The 19,715-nt window shown below is 40.5% G+C and overlaps 1 protein-coding gene across 16 annotated transcripts in view, besides 1 other annotated feature; it reads left to right on the top strand.

Moving 5' to 3' along the window:
- PCED1B (PC-esterase domain containing 1B) overlaps positions 1-19,715 on the top strand; it is a 157,040-nt gene that overhangs the window by 18,555 nt on the left and 118,770 nt on the right. For 7 of the 16 annotated variants that reach the window (XM_047429869.1, XM_047429874.1, XM_017020209.2 and 4 more), the window contains exon 2: positions 5,938-6,020. The exons of 2 other annotated variants lie outside the window; for them this stretch is intronic. The gene's annotated coding sequence lies outside the window, so the exon portion shown is untranslated. Of the gene's footprint in view, positions 1-5,504; positions 5,623-5,937; positions 6,021-6,933; positions 7,950-9,821; positions 9,990-19,715 lie in introns of those variants that run through there. 7 more of the 16 variants (XM_017020207.2, XM_047429868.1, XM_047429872.1 and 4 more) reach the window with 4 other exon arrangements.
- Positions 17,600-17,769: an enhancer, noted in NCBI's record as "experimental_28818 CRE fragment used in MPRA reporter constructs". NCBI's record gives its function as "activates a minimal promoter by MPRAs in K562 erythroleukemia cells, with activity observed for both the introgressed and non-introgressed 12:47509643 variant alleles {active_cell/tissue: K562}" and the evidence as "EXISTENCE:reporter gene assay evidence [ECO:0000049][PMID:34662402]".

The raw sequence follows: 19,715 nt of genomic DNA on the forward strand, positions 1-19,715 counted from the left end.
GCCTTGCCCCACTCCAATGAGACCAGGGGTAGACTCGTGGACCACAACAATCAGACTCTCTCTTACGATTCTGAGCCGGGTTACAGAAACTACGGTCAGTGACTATGGACTGCAGCTGAGAGCTCCCAACCAGCGAGGGCTGAGGTTGGTGCCAGTGCAAGCCAAAGTCAAGGACAACTAAAGCTACTTAAGAGCAAGATTATAAATAGACAAAGCCAAAGTCTATGAACAAAGGAAATCAGACATGCTTTTAAAAAGCAAAGAGTATGCAACACTCACAGGGAATTAATAACAATATTATTTATTAATTTATTTATTTTATTTATGTTTTGAGATGGAGTCTGTCGCCCAGGCTGGAGTGCAGTGGCACAATCTGGGCTCACTGCAAGCTCCGCCTTCCGGGTTCACCCCATTCTCCTGCCTCAGCATCCCGAGTAGCTGGGACTACAGGCGCCCGCCACCACGCCCGGCTAATTTTTTCTATTTTTAGTAGAGATGGGGTTTCATTGTGTAAGCCAGGATGGTCTTGATCTCCTGACCTCGTGATCCGCCCGCCTCCGCCTCCCAAAGTGCTGGGATTACAGGCGTGAGCCACCGCGCCTGGCCATAATATTTTTTTAAAAGCAAAGAGACTCAAAAGAGAGAGTCAAAAAACAAAAGAGAGAAAGAAAGAGTGGGAGACTACAGACCAATCAACTTGAGTTTCAGTCTCTCTCTTTCCCAGCTTTGGTGGCTATGAAGTCTAGCTGGACTTTGTTTCCTGCTGGTGGATGTGTGCAAAATTGTTGGCTTAATCTTTACAGTTAACTCCTGTTTTTAATTTGAGTTAATTTGAGTGAGATTCGATTCCCAGCCACCACTCATCTCTGACCAATGGACTTCCCCGTCCCCTTCTCCCCTGCGAACCAGGTGCTTCAGTTTGGCCCTTCTCGCTCCTATCAAGAAAGAATGGGATCTGAAAAACTTTCACACTGTCAAATACTGAGTTTGCTGACTTTTCCAGTAACATTTTAGAAGAGCACAGCAGTGAGAAGGCCACATGAGACAGTAAGGGATAACAATTCACATACCATTTTGGGCATCAGTTGTAATCTATTTCAGGAGGAGCACCGGAACACCGGCTATTACCTCAGTAGCAGATCACTTACTATCCCCTTTTTGAGGGCTACTTACCATCACACATAAAGCTTTTCCTTCCTGCCACACTCCGCACACCACATACTACATAAGCTCTTCTGTCCATTGTAAATGCCTTGAAAGCGGGGATCGTCTCCACTGTGGTTTTATACTCACTGCTCTCACACTAGCAGTGACAACATCCATTTGAATGAATACATGTTCTACATATAATTTTAATGGATATTCCTTCTCCCTCTCTCAGAATGAATAGTTTGAGAACTTCTGGGCCTAATATTCAGATAAGACCCCCTCAAAAACCTTCCTTTTCCCTTTTGCCACTCCCTCTGCACTACCATGCGCCCTTGTACTTCTGTGAGATCTCCTAAAACTGAAGAGCATGAGGAAAACAGGAAATTACTATTAGCTTTTCCTTAGTCCAGGAAAAAAAGACTGAGAGGTGGCCCAGTCATATTCATAAAGTGTTGCTTAAAGAAGCCACTATTAGCAATTGAAAAGGACTTTCTAGTTCAGCCCTGCCTCCCATTCCATCTGGGCACCTCCAGCATCAGCCCACAGTTTCTCAGGCTCCAATCCATTCCATGCCAGTCATAAAGCTGACTTTCCAATGAAGACACAAGGCAGAGAGCACATTTGCATCAATGCAGGTACAGGTGTATAAACTCAGTGACTCCAAGCGGCTACACTGAGCAATGTTTACATACTTGGAAAAAGGACCATTCTCACAGATTCTATTTAAGACCAATGTGGAAATATTAATAGAAATTCTTGAATCTAGAACTATTCATAAATACTGTTTTAGAAGAATGTATTTTCATTCAGAAAGGAACACAGTTTCTGACAGACTGTGATTACCGTTTTATTTCCTTTTTCTATATCATTAAACGCAAGGGTAGTATTCAGAACACTCAAAAGTCATATATGGAAAGAAAAGAAAATGATGTTTTTGGCATGCTTGGATCTCTATCATATTATGTTCTTGTCTTTTCTGGTACAATTGTAGGATTTATTTTCTAAACATTCCAATTTTACAGCATGAGTCATTGCTAATGTAGAAACCAACTGAATCATCCATCCATCCATCAATGAATATTCTTGTCTTCTTTTTCCTTATATGTGCTTATCTTTATACTAAAAAAGATATTAGGAATTCTTGCATTTAAAGCACTTCTTCTCCCTTTCACTTATTTTGTTTGTTTTACAGGTAATACAGTAAAGCTATCATTAACTTTGTTTTGGTTCAGATTTCCATTCAAAATATTGAGTCAGAAACTCAAATCAAGTGTACTCTTAAGTATCTGAAATCTGATGTCTTCCATACAGGAGGTAAATATAAAGTCTAGAAAAAGGAGAATAGAAAAGAAATATTTTCACACTTTCTGGCCTTAAGAAAGACCAAACAGACTGGATTGTGGTAATAAGTCTATGTCTTCTTCACTTAGCCTTTAAGAGTTGACTAAAAGTTATTTGATTGGCCAGGCATGGTGGCTTATGGTTGTCATCCCAGCACTTTAGGAGGCCGAGGGGGGCAGATCATCTGAGATCAGGAGTTCGAGACCAGCCTGGCCAGTATGGTGAAACACTGTGTCTATTAAAAATAAAAAAAATTAGCCGGGCATGGTGATGCATGCCTTATAGTCCCAGCTACTCAGGAGGTCGAGGCAGGAGAATCACTTGAACCCGGGAGGTGGAGGTTGCAGTGAGCCGAGATCGTGCCTCTGCACTCCAGCCTGGGCGACAGAGTGAGGTCCATCTCAAAAAAAGAAAAAAAAAAGTTATTTGATCATCTTGTTTCAAATATGAAGAATCTAGTTTATTCCATTCCATCTTAAATATATCACCTAGGATACTTGATATTGTAATATAATTACTTGTTAGGCACATCTTTTATTATTATTATCTATACCAGATGGTTTCAAGGAGAAGACATATTTACTTGGAACCAACCTATGGTTTGAGGTGGGGCTGGGGAGTGGGCAAGAGCACTGGTCCAGGAGTCAAGAGAACTAAATGTTAGTCACTGTGATACCACCAGTGAGTGAAGCTGTCACTTACTGGGCTTTCTTGTTCGTTCGTTTCTTTTTCAGTAAAATGAATTTCCTTCAGTGCCTGAAATCTCTTTCTAAGACTCAATGACTGAGCCTTTTCCTATTGTTTATCTCTTGCCCCAAAACTTGTAACACAAAGTCTCCCCAATTTTTATGCACTTAACAATCCACTGTTCAGTAGCCATTCTACATTACATGCAATTATCATCATGAGCCCCCTTTCCCATTCTGACTATATGGAGATTATATGGGGAAAACTATAATATGGATCACAGGGAAAAAACTGAATTAAAAGGAAGATTTGGTCCGGGCACGGTGGCTCACACCTGTAATCCCAGCACTTTGGGAGGCTGAGACGGCCGGATCAGTTGAGATTGGGAGCTCGAGGCCAGCCTGATTAACAGGGAGAAACCCCTTCTCAACTAAAAATACAAAATTAGCTGGGCGTGGTGGTGCATGCCTGTAATCCCAGCTACCGGGGAAGCTGAGGCAGGAGTGTCATTTGAACCCAGGAGGCGGAGGTTGCAGTGAGCCGAGATGGCACCATTGCACTCCAGCCTGGGCAACAAGAGCAAAACTCCATCTCAAAAAAAAAAAGGAGGGGGAAGATTTGAATTTATTATGCATTATTTCTAAGAGAGAACTCAGAGAAATCATTTGTCCTAAACAATAGCTTCTATCTATTGACTCCCAAGTAGTTCCCAAGAAACTAAATTGCTTTTACCAAATTATCCTTTTAATACATCCATGTTATAGACTCATCAACTACCTGTTCATTAAAACACATGGCCTACCAAAATTATATCTTAACATCATTAGCTTTTAAATACTAGAAGTCATTTCAACCCTTAGAAAAGTCTGGTGAGCATGATTACATGTGGAAACTTTCAGATACAATGTATCCAAAAAAGTAAGTGTATTAAAAATGTAAATATATTTCAGATATCCAAAAATGTAGACATATTGTCAGGCTTTGCTACTTTTTTGCAGTTTCACATCATGTCTTTACTTGTAATAATATCAATAATTGCTGCAAAGATAATAAACTACATTCCCATTCGCCTATCCCTCTACCCCAGTACTGTGTTATACAGTTTTCCCTGCAACATGATGTCAGTCTGCAAAGGGTCTTTGTGACATCAGGAAGAGAGTCTAGATTTCCTTCCAGGGCAACACATTTTGCTATTAGGTTGAGCCATAAAACTGCCATTTTTGGTCAGGAATGATTTACCACTGGTAGTTTCATATGGCACAAGCTAAAGAGCCTTCCTTGGGTTTGAGTTACAGTCCTGAGAGTCGCTTGTGTGTCCAATGGGCCAGTTACTTAATTGCTGAGTCTTGGTGTGTGAAATGGTAATAACACCCACTTTATAGGATTGATTATTAACTCAACATTGAGGCTTAGCAATGACGTATAGGAGCACCGTGCCTAGAAACAGTTATTGTTCAAGAAATAGGTAATAATACAATATAATTATCAGTATAAGTAACGTAGAAGAGTTTCCTCACTTTTCCTTTAGCCATTTTTGCATATATGGTGAAGGTAATGGTTGCTATGGTAGAGAGAAATGGAAAATATTTGTGAAGCAAGCACAATTTTTAAAACCCCAATAACGTTAAAGGCCTTCCATTCCTGTCTTGTATGCTCTCTTATGTCCAAGTAAGGGCACAGATAAAGTTTGACACATACTCGGTGGAGTATCTAAATAGAAAATGTACTGAAGCAAACCAAGAACAGAGTTTTAAAAAAAAAATCAAAGCACTAAGCAAACATTCTGAACTTTTGGCAGAGGAATTGGACTGTCTGAATCTCCATGACTCTTTGGAGTTATTAATAGTGATGCATTTTGCCATATTTTGAGCAGATGCATATTTATAGGTCACGCAATATCTGTGTGGGGAGACTTTCAAGGCTTTATGGCCTTTTAAAAATGTCTTATCTTGGAAGAGAACAGGGCAAGGAGGATGCCATTTTGTCATCTGTGCAGCACCAATCACCCTGTGCTCATTAAATGTTACGGGAAAGATGCGCACTGCAGCAGGGCCTGGAATGTGGCTCCCATCTGCACTGCCAGAAGCCATGATGAAGTCACGAGTTGCACAACAGTAGTAATTCGCAGCTATTTATGACCATTTTAATAGCAAAGGTCTAGATTAGAAGGCTGTGTTTACATGCCATGTAGCAGAATAGTTCACGAATCATTCCCACAGTAACGTTTGGTCAAACCAATCAACCAAGTAATGAAAAATGAACCGGTTGTTCTTGAGGTTGTGACTAATAGATCTCTAAGTTAGCCTCTACTTTCCTCATGCTCTTCCATACCTGAGACAGAATTGACTCCTGCCCCATGCCCACAGACTCTCCTCCTCTGTCTTCCCGGCAAGCCACAGCCCTGTTACCCTTTCTCCACCCAAGCTCAAAGCCGTAAGACATCAGGTAAGTTAAAGGAGCTTTGGAAACTCCTGTAGAGCACCTGTGCACATAATTAAGGAAACATAATTTTTAGCACGTTTATTTTCTCATTGTCATTGCTCCATTATGTGACTTTAATTAGTGACCCCGATGGCCCCTGTGCATCCAGATGAGTAAAATCCTTTCATTTGTCTGCTTAAACTGACTTGAGGTTTTAGTGATTATCACATCCATGCAGCCTGAAGGTCAGACTATTTCCTTTTGTTTCACTAGACAGTTAATCCCCTCATTAGGGGTGATGGAAAATGAATAATTAAACATGCCATTTTCACATTTCAGGTAATGAGAGGCCCTAAGATCCCAGAGGATGCCATAAGAGGAAAAGTCAGGGGAGTGTTGAAGACTCTGCCTCCTACAAATATGTGAGTTTTTCTCCCCTGGCTTCATGGTAGAAAAGGTTTGGCGAAGGCTCTTCCTCTAAATTGAAACAAAACAAAATGAAAACCTTAGTTATTGGGCTGTACTCTGACACTTAGTAGCTGTGTGACTTGGGGCAAAGCAGCTAACCTTTTGACACTAAAAGTTTTCTCAATTATATAACTGGAATGATAATGGTAACCATTGTATTGAAATGTTATGAGCATTAAAAACATGAATGAGTGACAATACTTACAACAGTGTCTACCACATGGTAAGAGCTCTGTAATGTGTTAATTATATTATCATTTTCATTATCACCCAGGCAAGTCACCTGAATGCTGTGGGTATCAGGCCACAGCCAAACAACCACTTGCAGGTTATCACAAAGTTCCCTTTGGCCTATTGGAATAAGGATTAAGAGTAAATTATGTTGTACCCTGGAGGGAAAAAACCCAAGTAGTCATACCTCTAGGGCCTTAGGGAATTCAACTTTCACCAAACCTCTTCTAATTACTCTAAAAAGATTTTTTGGAGGGTGGAGGTGGTAGAAGGTAGAGAGCCACAATAGTCGGGACCCAGATGACCACACTTGGTGAGTGAAGGTGAAGCCACCCACAGCAGCCTCCACTGGTGCAATCTGAATTCCTGCCTCCAATCCCAGGCCCCACAGCTTCTGCCCCTTCCTCATGTTCTCCAACTCCCAGGAAGCCGGCTCGCCCCGGGCTTCCCCAGCCCTGTACCATGGAGACTGGGCAGGGACCTCCTTTTGTACTCTGACTTCTGTCTCATCTGACCATATTTTAGGCAGACCTTACGCTCATGCCGACTAAAAATGGACTCACTCTGCTAAGGAAATCCAAGCCCCATTGGGAAATATCTCTGAGTCTAATTTGGTCATTTCTTTTGCCGCTTCAGGCTGTGGACCTTACAAAGCAGAGACAGCACCCTTCAAGATGCAGAGTTCAGGGAAAGCTCCTATACAGAGGGGAGTGGGAGTCTCCGCTGAGTTTGGAAAGATGACTGGGGTTTGATTGACAGAGTGAACGCGGTGGGGGGCGGCGGGGGAGATGTTTCAAGTGAAGAGGGTCTGGAATGTGCCTAGAACAGGGAATCTTCTGACAGGCTGAAACAGGCTGTGTAAGGGAGTGCAGGTGGCTAAAGCTGCTCAGAGAGACACAGACCAGTGCGGAAAGAAAGTTCTGAGGGTTCATGAAGATATTGGACTTTATTCTGCATAAATACAGATGGTGAAGGGTGGAAGCAGTGTTTCAGAAAAGAAAAAGTGTGTAGTGCTGTGCATGCAGCATTGGTAGAAATGGGCTTGATGGGAGGAAAATTACTTAGCGGACTAGGGCCTGAGGTCATGGGGACCTATGAAAAGGAAAATAAAATGCATGAGGGTGGCTATATGATTATGTGCAGAGGGGGTGGAAACTGTTGCTCAAAACTGAATCTTAAAATTTGTTTTGTCATTGCTTTACCCAAAATAGTCGACCCTAGTTGGATTTTTTTGGAGAAAATATTTTGTCCCTTTTAAAAAGGTTCTAGTAAGAAGCAGCTTTAATGCTGTTTGTGGAAGGAAAAAGTTACAAGGAGAAAGAGTGAATACAGTGCATGATTAAAGGAGTGATGGAAAGTGACAATGGCTTTCAAAAGAGCACAGGCGAATTGACACGTATTATGACAAACACGATCTTACAGTGACTTCATTTTCTTGTGAGTGTTGGGAAATACTTTCTAGATATTCTAATAATGATGCCGTTAGCATTGTACAATTTTTAATTAAAAAGCTTATAACACAAATAGAAACTTAAATCTGGAGGAGAACTTCAATATCCTTTCATCATTTTACAGAGGAGCTAACAAGACTAGAGAGTAAACAACTCACCCACAGTCACCCAGCAGGTGTGTGACAGGTCCATTGCCAGAAGGTAAATGCTTTGCTCCTGGCCCGGTGCCCTTTCTGCTTGGCCACAAGAGTCCACAAAGACCATTTTATTTATTTATTTTTCAAAATACACATTTTTATCAAAAAAGGACCATTTTTATAGCTGAAGTAAAAGACTTGGTGTTTTCCATTTTCTCTTTTTAAAGTCAAGAGCTGTTTTCTCAGATAAATTATTCACATTTCCCTTTACTGCATTATTTTTCTTGTTTGTAGAATTAAATAATTAACCTTGAGGTAATCTTTGTGTTGAAGACACCTTAGCCTAGGGGTGCGAGTTGCGTAATGGGAAGAAAAGTGGGTGCCTATGAGAAAGTATAGACTTCTAGGAGTTCCCCAGCTCCCTCGGAACAGCCCTCTGACCTGGTGCTCAGGATAAGGTGAAGTCATGGAAAAGCATCAGCAAACGCGCCTCTCAACCTGCCTTGCCCATGATGTCTGTCATCCCAGGCCCCAGACTGTAGGCGTCGAGCCTCCTCATAGGGTCCCTGGGCGCCCATCTCCTTTATGGGGCCCCTCCCCACAAGGGACCCATCAGCCTCACTTCTCTGTTTTCCCTCCTCCCCGCTTCTCTATCTTTTCTGTAAAATGTTTAAAAGAAAAAATAAATCTCTCCTGTTAGAGCATGTTCTTTTTCTTTTTCCTCCAGCTTTTTTTTTCTTTGTCAGTCTCTGCCTCTCATCCAGGTGAAATTGCTTTCCTCCACCTCTGGCAAACATACATTAGGGCCTTGCTTCCTCTGCTTCCGGGGCCCGCAGCCTTCCCTTTGTGGCACCTTTTCCCCAAGTCCTGTTCCTTTCTGCCTCCTAGGAACCCACTCTGGACAGGGGATGCCCCAATAATGGCAGAGGGCTCCTGCAGATCGTCCCCTACCCCCATCTCAGTTACCCGGCCAGGGCTCAAGCATAGGAAGTCCTGAAGTTCTGATTTTCTTGGTTAATCTCCTTGAAGCAATTCTTCATGATACCAAGTGCCCTGATTCTTTGTTCAGAGTTAGGGGTGGGCGAGTGTCAACCTTGATATTCTTCATTGTTGATTCATGTTCATGAAAGATTCTCCTAAAGTTTGATTGGTGAATGCCGGGGCCAAACACCGTAAGCCTAGGTGCACTGTGCCACATCCATATCAAGAGGCTGGGAATCTTGGTGGGGTCAAAGTCTCTCCTGTATCCATGAACCATTGTATTGCCTCTCCCGGCATGTCTGTGAGAGAAGGGACAGCATAAACTCTGCCATAGGAGGAGGAAGGCTTCTCTCTTGTTCTCCATGGGACACAGGGAGGGAGCTGATAGATGGCAGGCCGAAGGGCCCAAATTTAAGAGAGTAAAGTGGGGTGAACATGTTGAGATTGTGACCATTTTCCCAGAAGAAGCAGAAAGTATAATGCATCGAAGTTAGAGCACTAGAAGGGCCTTGGTATGGCCCCCGACACCAACTTGGGCAGAGAGGCCAGACTCCAGCAGGCAGCAGCAGTGGCAGTGGAGGTGGCACAGGCACCAACAGGCAGACGGGGCTGGCAGTGACCCTGGCAGGGAAGGATGCAGTGCCTCAGGGATGAGAGAATGCCAGCTGGGGACTCAGGCTCAGGTGCAGGTGTCACTAGACCTGGGCTAGCCTCCCACCCACTAGCCAGTTCCACAACAGATACAATGTCCCCCTAAGGAGGAAAGTGGTAGAAAAGTAAATATGTCTTAATTCCCAAAACTTCTCTTTTACATCAGGTAAGACTCCTAAACCAGAAAAATGAGGATCTTTATTGCTAATTACATGCTGGGTGTCCTTAGGAGAGACATTTAAATTTTCTGGACCTCAGTTTTCTCATATATAAAATAAGGATGTAAATAATTATTATTTTGTAGGATTGTTGGAGTACAAAATGACAGTATGAGCAAGTAAAATGGTATGCCTAGTACCAGTGAGAGCCCTCAGTAAACAGTAGGCAGCAACCAAGCTGGTGGGAAGCCTCCTATCCAGGAGGATGCAAATTGTTGACTTGCAAGATGATGAGGATTTCCAGATAGACACAGGTGAGTAAGCATTGCTTTTTCCAGTTGGATAACCCTGAGATCTGCTGCTAGAGTGGACTTAGGATGTGAGCAGGAGGCAAAACACAGGGAAAGTAGCCTGAGTGCTGATGAGCTTCTCAGGTGCTGATTTAGAAGCTGCCCATGCTCACCACACACAAGGACCTAAACATACTGGCTCAGCTATCTAAATGGCAATGACAGTTGATGACAGCTGTTTCCCAATGACTTCCTCTCCCAGAATCTTCTGCACCCTACACGTTCCTGTTGTTCAGATTCTGTCTGGAAGCAAAACAGTTCCCAAATGTACATCAGATTGTGTTTTTCCCCACATCTTCGCCAGGCTTGTATGATCATCTTTGTACTTTTCCTAATCTTTTCGATTAAATTGCAATTTAATTTTTATTTTTCTGACCACTGGTGAGACCTACCATCTTTTCACATATTTATTGGCCCTTTGCATTTTCTCTTAGGCTTTCATTACTTGAGTTTTACAACAGAATGGCATCATCTTTAGAATCAGTCCAAGGCCAGCTTTCATTACAACCACTCTTATTATTTCATTTTGTTTTCTTCTCTTCTTTAAACTTCATGCCTCTGATTAATCTGTTTAATTTTAATGGCTAGGCATGGCAGCTCACACCTGTACTTCTAGCAGTTTGGGAAGCCAAGGCAAGATTACTTGAGAGCAGTCTGGGCAATATAGTGAGACCCTGTCTCTACAAAAAATAATAGTAATAATTTTACAAGTATGTAATACTTCGGGGCACACACCAACTTTTGTTTGTCTTCCTTTGGCAGAGTCCTCACCACAGATGGAATTCTTTCATCTTTTGGATTAATCATGATTCAGGTCTTGAAATGAAAACTAAAATAAACTTTCCAGTTGGCCTTTAATCTCAATTTGGAATTATTCTAGGTTGAATGAAAATCACCTACTTGATAGTACTCTACTTATGTTTTTGCACTTTCCAAAGAACAGAATTGGAGGCAGAATACTGTAGAAGAAATTTTCAAGAAGATTCAAGTACTAGATTTAGGATGTAGAAGTCCCTGCTTGCATACTGCTGCCAGTCTTCTTGCAACTTTCAGCAAACCACTTTCCTTCCTCTCTCTGTAAATGGAGGCAGGTGGCAAGTTGAGCTATATCAGTGATTCTCAACCCTGGCTACACATTACAAGTACTTGAAAAACTTTTTTTTTTTTTTTTAGTTTTAATTGGTTTATTATTGTCTTTAAAAGTCTTCACAGGCAAAGCCATCCCTCTTTGTCTCTATCTTACACCTGCCTGGTGGTTTTAGTTGAGGATTCTGGGAAAAAGAGACTTAGAGTGATGATGAGGAGATTTGACATTTTAGGAAGAAAATGGCAAGTTTCTGGAATTTCAGAAATTTTCAAAATTCAAAAAATGTAATGGTTGTTTCTGGCTCTTTGTTTTATTCCATCTCTATAAAATTCCATATGTGGAAATAATGTGTTCCCTCATATTTATCTCTATTCAGTCATGCATTTATAACATATTCATTGAAAACTAGTTATGTGCCAGGCCTGTGCAAGGAGAGAAGGGGGTGCAATAGAATTACCTGAAAAACTTTTTTAAAAGGCTATTAAAACTTTTAAATACTGCATCCTAAGGTCAGTTAAATAAGAATCTCTGGGAGTAGGATCTATGCATCAGCACTTTTAAAAAGTGCCTCGGGTGATTTTCATATGGAACCAAGAATGGGAATCACTGAACATGATGATCTCTGGTATCCCTTGTAGTAAACACCTCTATGATTCTAAACCATGTTGAAATTTGGGCAGTATATCAAACTCTTTAGTGATTTTTAAGTTAGTAAAATGGAGATTCTACTTCATGTTGCCACACACAGCAATGGAGTTTAGAATTGGCCTGAATGGTTGGCTTGGAAGATGTTTGTTAGTGGCCAGAATCATTCATGAATCTTCTTGCTTTTTCCTCTCCTCCTATGGGGATCATGTCTCTAAATGAAACAATATGTGCTTTTGTTGAGCTGAAAACTGGATGAAGTGAGGGGTAAAATGAATGGACAATTAGTCCTGTAAATCACTAATCCAGAGGACAGCCAGCAACCACTTCTTCTGTCCCCACTTTGAGGTTAAAAACAAAAATGCTGTGTTTGGAGGCCATAATGTGAGCTTTTGTCAACAAAGAGGAAAGCGCAATAGGGTTCCACTTCAATAAATAATTTTTACGCAATCCATAGGATTCAGCCAATCAATTAATTATGAATTGCAAACATATTTCACCCAGGAAGTGTTTGGTAACAGTTTGTGGTTAACAAAGACAATGTGTTCAACATAGGATCTAGCCCAAATTTACTAATAAAATATGATCTTTTTACTGCAAAAGTGACTTAGGAGACATTACTGGGGAGACAAAACCCTTAATACACAAAGATACTCCATAAAACTTTAATTGCATGGCAGAATCTATAAATGCAAGAGAAGCAGCCTCATCTTGAATTTCAAGTAAGAAATGTTTTGGGAGCCGTCTGTGTCACTAATCAGAAATATAATCAATGAAAGGTATGAGGTTCCCTGAGAAGCTGCTTTGATCATGCAAACATGAGCTTCATTTTTAGATGTAACTAGTGTCTTCTTTCAGGTGATTATTGATCAGGTTCTTCTCTGCTGAGTCAATGACAAACACACACAAAGCTTGGTCCAACGTGAAGTTTGATGTCCCGCATCACAGTTGCAGGGAAACATGAGGTCATAGCACCAGAGGTTTGAGCTCTTCAGTTCAAAAACCATATGCAGCATGAAAGAATGCTCTGGTGTTCTTTGAAGTTTGATGTATGTAACTTCAAATCTCAAAGAGAAATACATTTCTCCTCCCACTGAATTCAATTGCTTTGTAAGTGGTCTGATTTCTGAAAAATTGATTTTTGGTACAACTGAAGAGTCTATTTAACATTTGGGTTGCCTTAATAATAGAAGCCCAAGGATGCTATGACTCTCATGTTTCAAGGACCTGTGCCACAAGGACATAAAGATCACAAAGCCACAAGGACATAAAGATCAGAACAACATCACTCTGCCCTAGATGAGTTCACTTTCTAGGGGAACCAACACCTGTATTAGAGTGTTGGAAGACTGCCTTTAAATGCTTCAAAATGCATCTGCTATTATTTTAGGATGGGAGAAAGATCACCATGGTTTTCACTGATCATCAGAAGAAATAAGTACTTATTAGATTTTTATGTCTATATTATTTACATATTTTGAAATTGTGGTAGAATACACATAACACAAAATTTGCCATCTTCACCATTCTCAAATTTACAGTTAGGGGCCTTAAGTACATTCACTTTATTGTGCCACTGTCACCACCATCCACCCACAAGACTCTTTCCGTCTTGCAAAATCGAAACTCCAAACACATTAAAAAAAAACCTCCTAATTCTTCCCTACCCTCAACCCCTGGCAACCACATTTCTACTTTCTGCCTGTGAGTTTGTCTCCTGTAGATACCCCTTTTAAGTGGAATTGTTCTGTGTTTGTTCTTTTGGTTGGCTTATTTCACTCAGCATAATGTCTTCAAGGTAAATTTTTTTTAAAGAGCCAATAAATACTTCCAAGTGTCTCATAAGCAACCAGCTGTGCTTGTTCTAGCTGAGGTACCTCGGTTTATTTACAGATCTTATTAGAAAGTCACTTCTTCTCATGGTAAAGGGAGCCGATGTCATTTTGTACATCTTTGAAGGAATTCAGTATCATTCATGGATTATCCATTCATGGGTTCTCTGATCGCTCAAAGGCACCGGCACTGCCCCTCATAAGCTGTTGGTGGGGGTCGTGTAGCCCCTCCATAAGATGGCCAGAGAAAAGGCAGCCCACCTGACTCAGAGCTGCCAACCCCCAGCCCACGCGAGCTCTGTGCTTGATTATGGGTGTGTATTACCATCTGGTATGTGGGTTTAGCAGTAAGAATAGGAGAATCAATCAGGCTTTCCATGTCATATGTTGCTATTATTTTATTTAACACTTGTTCTATGGCCAATACTGCACCAAGCACAGCATAAAATCTGGAATTACTTGATACACTCCCTATCTATTATCCAAGGGAAACTTCTGCCAAACTTGCATCAGGGGATTCCTCTCAGTCCACTGAAAAGTGACTTTATTTCCTAATGACTTCCAAATACAGAGTCTTGATTGTTTAAAGACTAAAAGCTATGCTTTAGAATTTTAAGTAAGATCCATTTTAATAAGATTCTCTTAGCAAATTTCTCTATACTTCATTAAGTTTCTATCCTGGAGGAAAATATATCTCTCCATATTCCATGATGTTAGTGGAGGAAATGAAGCAACCACTTCCACTCACTATTTCCCTGGCTGTTTCTATTTAACAAAACGGTGATTTTAGCTGAAGCTTTGTTTGTGATTTTAATCACAATCTATATGTTGGACCTCAGTAATTAGAAATTTGAGTGTTTGTCGTAAAAAGCTACTTCCAGGGTACATTATTTTACCATGATGCCTTCCAATGTGTGGTCTCTTAAAAACTCTGTAAGGTCACATTATTAGCCAGTGTTTGTAATAGACATAGTACCTGCCTTTCTCTTATGCCTTTTGGAAGACTCTTCAATTCTTCCCTGGGCTCCAGGGAGTACTGGGATTATTCAAGTGCTTCCTTCCTTCAGCTAAGAGACTAAAGTTTCATTTTTACAGTAAAGAGCCTCAGCCTGCAGAGAGCGGTAACAGCTTCTTGGGCATGTCAGCCCTTGCACATACGACTGCCCTGCTGTGTGCAAAAGCAAATGGAATTTCCTTTCCTTTCCTCTTAACTGATATTCCTTCACTCTTGTTAGGTTTGCCTTTACAATCTATTACCAAAAACTGGACAACAGAACTAGCATTATTTAAAAACATACACAATCCCCTCCCAATGACTTGGGGATGTCTTATTCATTCTGTAAAGCTGGGCACTGGGTTTGGTCTCTGGGATATACTAAGATGCTCAGACAGAGTCCCTGTTCTAAAGAAGTAGGGGAGAGGATTTATACTCAATTACATAATACTGTACAAGTGAGGACATAATATATGGTATCAGAGACGGCTATGGAAATTCAGAAGATGGGAAAATCTCTGAATTTAGGAATCACAGAAGGGGAATGAAAATACCTCACTTTTCTTGAACATATACTATGTATCAGGCACGGTGTTAGGCAGCTTACATACATGATTTAGTTCAATCTTCACAACCATGACATGATGAGGCATTTTTTACTCCAAATTTGGCAACAAAGAGAAAGAAGCTTGTCCAGATCTGACTGTTTGCTCAGCTTTCATGCTTTATACTGCATTGTTCCATACTGATGACGCTCCTGCTTCAAATCCTATTCCCCTGTTCTACCCCCACCTCCCAAAAGGAGCAGAAAGATTGAGAGGCTTCAGACAATCAGATTTTACCAGATTTGTACTGCTTTTTAGTTTGCATCAGAAATCTGTGGGACCTGTATGCAGAGAACCATATATGTCCAAAGTGTAGCCAAAATGCAATTTTTTTTTTTTAAGAATGTAATTTTAAGAATTGCATGGCTGGGCACAGTGGCTCACGCCTGTAATCCCAACACTTTGGGAGGCCAAAGCAGGTGGAACACCTGAGGTCAGGAGTTCGAAACCAGCCTGGCCAACATGACGAAACCCCGTCTCTACTAAAAATACAAAAATTAGCTGGGTGTGGTGGCGGGCAGAGTTTGTAGTGAGACGAGATTGCGCCCCTGCACTCCAGCCTGAGTGACAGAGCATGACTCCATCTAAAAAAGAAAAAAAAAACACACACACACACACACATAATTTATTTAGAGGTACACAATGGGGAAACCCTTTGTATGTCTGCATAGTTCTTTCTTCCTCTTGTGATTCCAGATGGGAATCTAGGACTTAGATAATTGACTACAGATTTACTGGGCTTGGGGAAAGATGCAAAGCCATAACACAGGAGCACACTTGTACAGAGAGAGCAGCTATCAGAATTCAGATTCAGCACACCTTCATGAGTATCCACTATGTGCCACTTAGAGGCTTATCTTTTACACTTTTATCTTCACACCAAACCTGCAAGTTGGATGCTAATCTCTCCCATTTGACACATGAGGAAACTGAGCCCACATAGAAAGTAAGTGATAGAGTTTAGATTCAAACTCAGGCCCTCTGCCTCAAGTCCAACTTATGACTTAAAAGCAGAAATATTTGAAGTCTGGAAAGAGGCTTTTCAGTTCATTAAAATCTGGCCTGTCAAAGCTGGACATGCAGCTTTCTCCACACTCTGCTCTGTCGCCTTAGAACCCCTGCACCAGAGACAGAGAACGTTACCCCTGGGAACAGCCCAGTGTCTGGCTCTTAGCACATAAGCACATGCCTCAATTCTGGTTCAAAATTACATTGCCGTTGTTTAGAGGAGGCTGCCTCCCCACTACTTCTGCTACTGCTTGATCTGTAGAGCTTTCTTAAGATAAAGCAGATGTTCCTAGCCCAGAAGCCTTGAGGTTGCTGCACCAAGCCCTCCAGCTGGAGCAGGAATGAAGGTCCCCAACACCAGAGACTGCCAACAACGTACAGGCCTCAGAGTAAGCCTTGAAGAGTTAGCTAATGGCAGCATCTGGCTTTCCATCGTGATCATCTTACTTCATGACACAGCACGTTTTTAGGAAATTACACTTTCATTTTTCCTGCTGTCCATTAAAGAAGGTTTAATAACATAGTCTGGAAATACAGGTGGGAAGTAGATTTGGGAAGTTGGACTATATGCAAATTAAAACTATAACTTGTTTGAATTACTCCAAAGTTGGTATCTTTTTCAAAAATAATAAAGAACAAATACAGCAAATTATTCAGTAGGGTCTGAGTAAAACAGGATGTTACCTGTTTATCTAAGTGTATAAAAAGGTATATAATAAAGCCTGGACACAGGTTATCAATAAATACTTATATAAATGAATAAATGTATGGTGATTTTAGGATCTTACCAAAACCAAGAGTGTCAGCCTTCTTTGAGTTAGGCCTAATTTTCAATCCTGATACTAATGGTGGGGGAATTACGGTGGTAAACAGTTGAAGGGGTCTGCTGCTCCTTTATTTTCTGCCCAAACGACATTAAACCACCTTTGCATGGTATCTTCACTCGGTTCTCACTCCTGCTATTGTGGTTTCTTTCCTCCTTGCTCCCCTGCCCCTCCCGCAATGTCTGTGGACTATCTGGACCCTTCATTTTGTACTTTTTTGGTGGACAAACACAGAAGGTTTTGTCTTAAAGCTGTAGCCACACTCATGAGGTACAACCAGAAACTGCTTCAATAAAGGAAGGCAATATGAACACTTTGATACCTCCTCCCCTCCCTCCATTCTCCTTGCCCTCCTCCCTCTTCTCCTTCCCCTCATCTTTTTCTTCTTCCCCTGCTTATTCTAGAAATGTTTCAGATTAGAAAATAATTTGTTACTTTGCTGTTTTAAAAAGGTGATATGTAGTCTCCTTATCTTAGAGATTAAGTTCTGTGTTCACCTAATGTACAACCATTTATTCTCTAAGTGAGGTAATGACATGATGATGGTCTATAGCAGATTGGAGACACCCTGTAAAATTAACATGTCTTACATCTTCCTATAATTATTTTATGTGTAAATTATTTAATATGCACAATGAAAAATAATTGTATACGACAAAGTGAACTGCTATGCCAGGCTCTGATCCAAAGATATTGTATGGATTGGTTTTTGGCATCTAAGGGCACTTTAGCTTTTACTTCACATTAGTGAAACTATATTCTTTTAAATTAGCTCACTAGAAATCTATGCTAGTTAGAATAATGAAAACTTGAAATAAATAAGGTATATAGAACAAGAAAATATTCCTGATTCAATTGTTTCATGATTTCTATTAGCATATCACATTAATGTTTTGTTTCAAAATATGATGGTTACTTTCTCAACATGTTTCTATTTTAAAATGACCTTTACTATCAACGTATCTACATGGTGTCAAGTAATTGGAAGGCAAATACAAAATTCATATAAATATTTGCAGACACACCCTGAGTGTGATGAGCCTTGATTACAAAAAAGATGTTGATAAGCTCTGTCCTCACCAATAATTATTTGTTCCTTTTGGAAAGGTACATAGTCTGTCAAAGCAACTGAATTATTTCTAGTCTGCAAATAAATTTAATGGAGCAAATACTTTCTAGGTCACAGTATGGGAAAGGTGACATTTTTATTATGGAAAGAGTGAAGGTCTGTTTTTTGATCTGCTGAAAAAAATAGATTGGCATAGAGTTTTTTTCTAGTCACAAAATTGAACATTTTATTTTGAGATGTTAATTTTCAAAAAACACCATCAGATAAGAAAATGAGTCTTTGTCATATACATTTTGTCCCAACTTTATAATAATTCATTACTAGTATAGTATAAGGTTTTAATAGGTAGTTAGATCATTTGAGCCAAATTATTTGCCAATCTAAATATTAATTATTCATTTATTGAAAATGTCAAAGTTGTGAGATCCTGGACTGTGTTAATCATGAGTGTTTTTTAAATTTAATTTTTTCTTTATTCAGAACAACATTAAGTAGCAAATAAAAAATACCACTGCAAGTCTAGGAAGATTTCAGAAGAAAGGAAAAAGCTTTATATTTTAGCACTTTTTAAAAACAGCTTTACTGAGACATAATTCATATATCAACAATTTACTCACTTAAAATGCACAATTCAATGGTTTTTAGTATATTCACAAATAGGTACAGCCATTGTCACAGTCAATTTGGGAATATTTTCATCACCTCAGAAAGAAACATTGATAAATTAACCAGATATGGTGGTGCATGCCTGTAGTCCTAGCTACTTGGGAGGCTGAGATGGGAGGACTGTTTGAGCTGATCTTGAGCTCCTGGGCTGAAGTGATCCTCCCACCATGGACTCCCAGAATGCTGGGATTACAGAAAGGCGTCACTGTGCCTGGCCAGCATAATGTTTTCAAGGTTCATCCCTGTTGTAACATGTAGCAGTACTTCATTCATTTTTTTTATTATACTTTAAGTTCTAGGGTACATGTGCACAATGTGCAGGTTTGTTACATATGTATACATGTGCCATGTTGGTGTGCTGCACCCATTAACTCGTCATTTACATTAGGTGTATCTCCTAATGCTATCCCTCCCCCCTACCTCCACCCCATGACAGGCCCCAGTGTGTGATGTTCCCCATCCTGTGTCCAAGTGTTCTCATTGTTCAATTCCCACCTATGAGTGAGAACATGCAGTGTTTGGTTTTCTGTCCATGCGACAGTTTGCTCAGAATGTTGGTTTCCAGCTTCATCCATGTCCCTACAAAGGACATGAACTCATCCTTCTTTATGGCTGCATAGTATTCCATGGTGTATATGTGCCACATTTTCTTAATCCAGTCTATCATTGTTGGACATTTGGGTTGGTTCCAAGTCTTTGCTATTGTGAATAGTGCCGCAATAAACATACGTGTGCATGTGTCTTTATAGCAGCATGATTTATAATCCTTTGGGTATATACCCAGTAATGGGATGGCTGGGTCAAATGGCATTTCTAGTTCTAGATCCTTGAGGAATCGCCACACTGTCTTCCACAATGATTGAACTAGCTTATAGTCCCACCAACAGTGTAAAAGTGTTCCTATTTCTCCACATCCTCTCCAGCACCTGTTGTTTCCTGACTTTTTAATGATCACCATTC

This window comes from Homo sapiens, chromosome 12, assembly GCF_000001405.40.
Source record: "Homo sapiens chromosome 12, GRCh38.p14 Primary Assembly".
Taxonomy (NCBI): domain Eukaryota; kingdom Metazoa; phylum Chordata; class Mammalia; order Primates; family Hominidae; genus Homo; species Homo sapiens.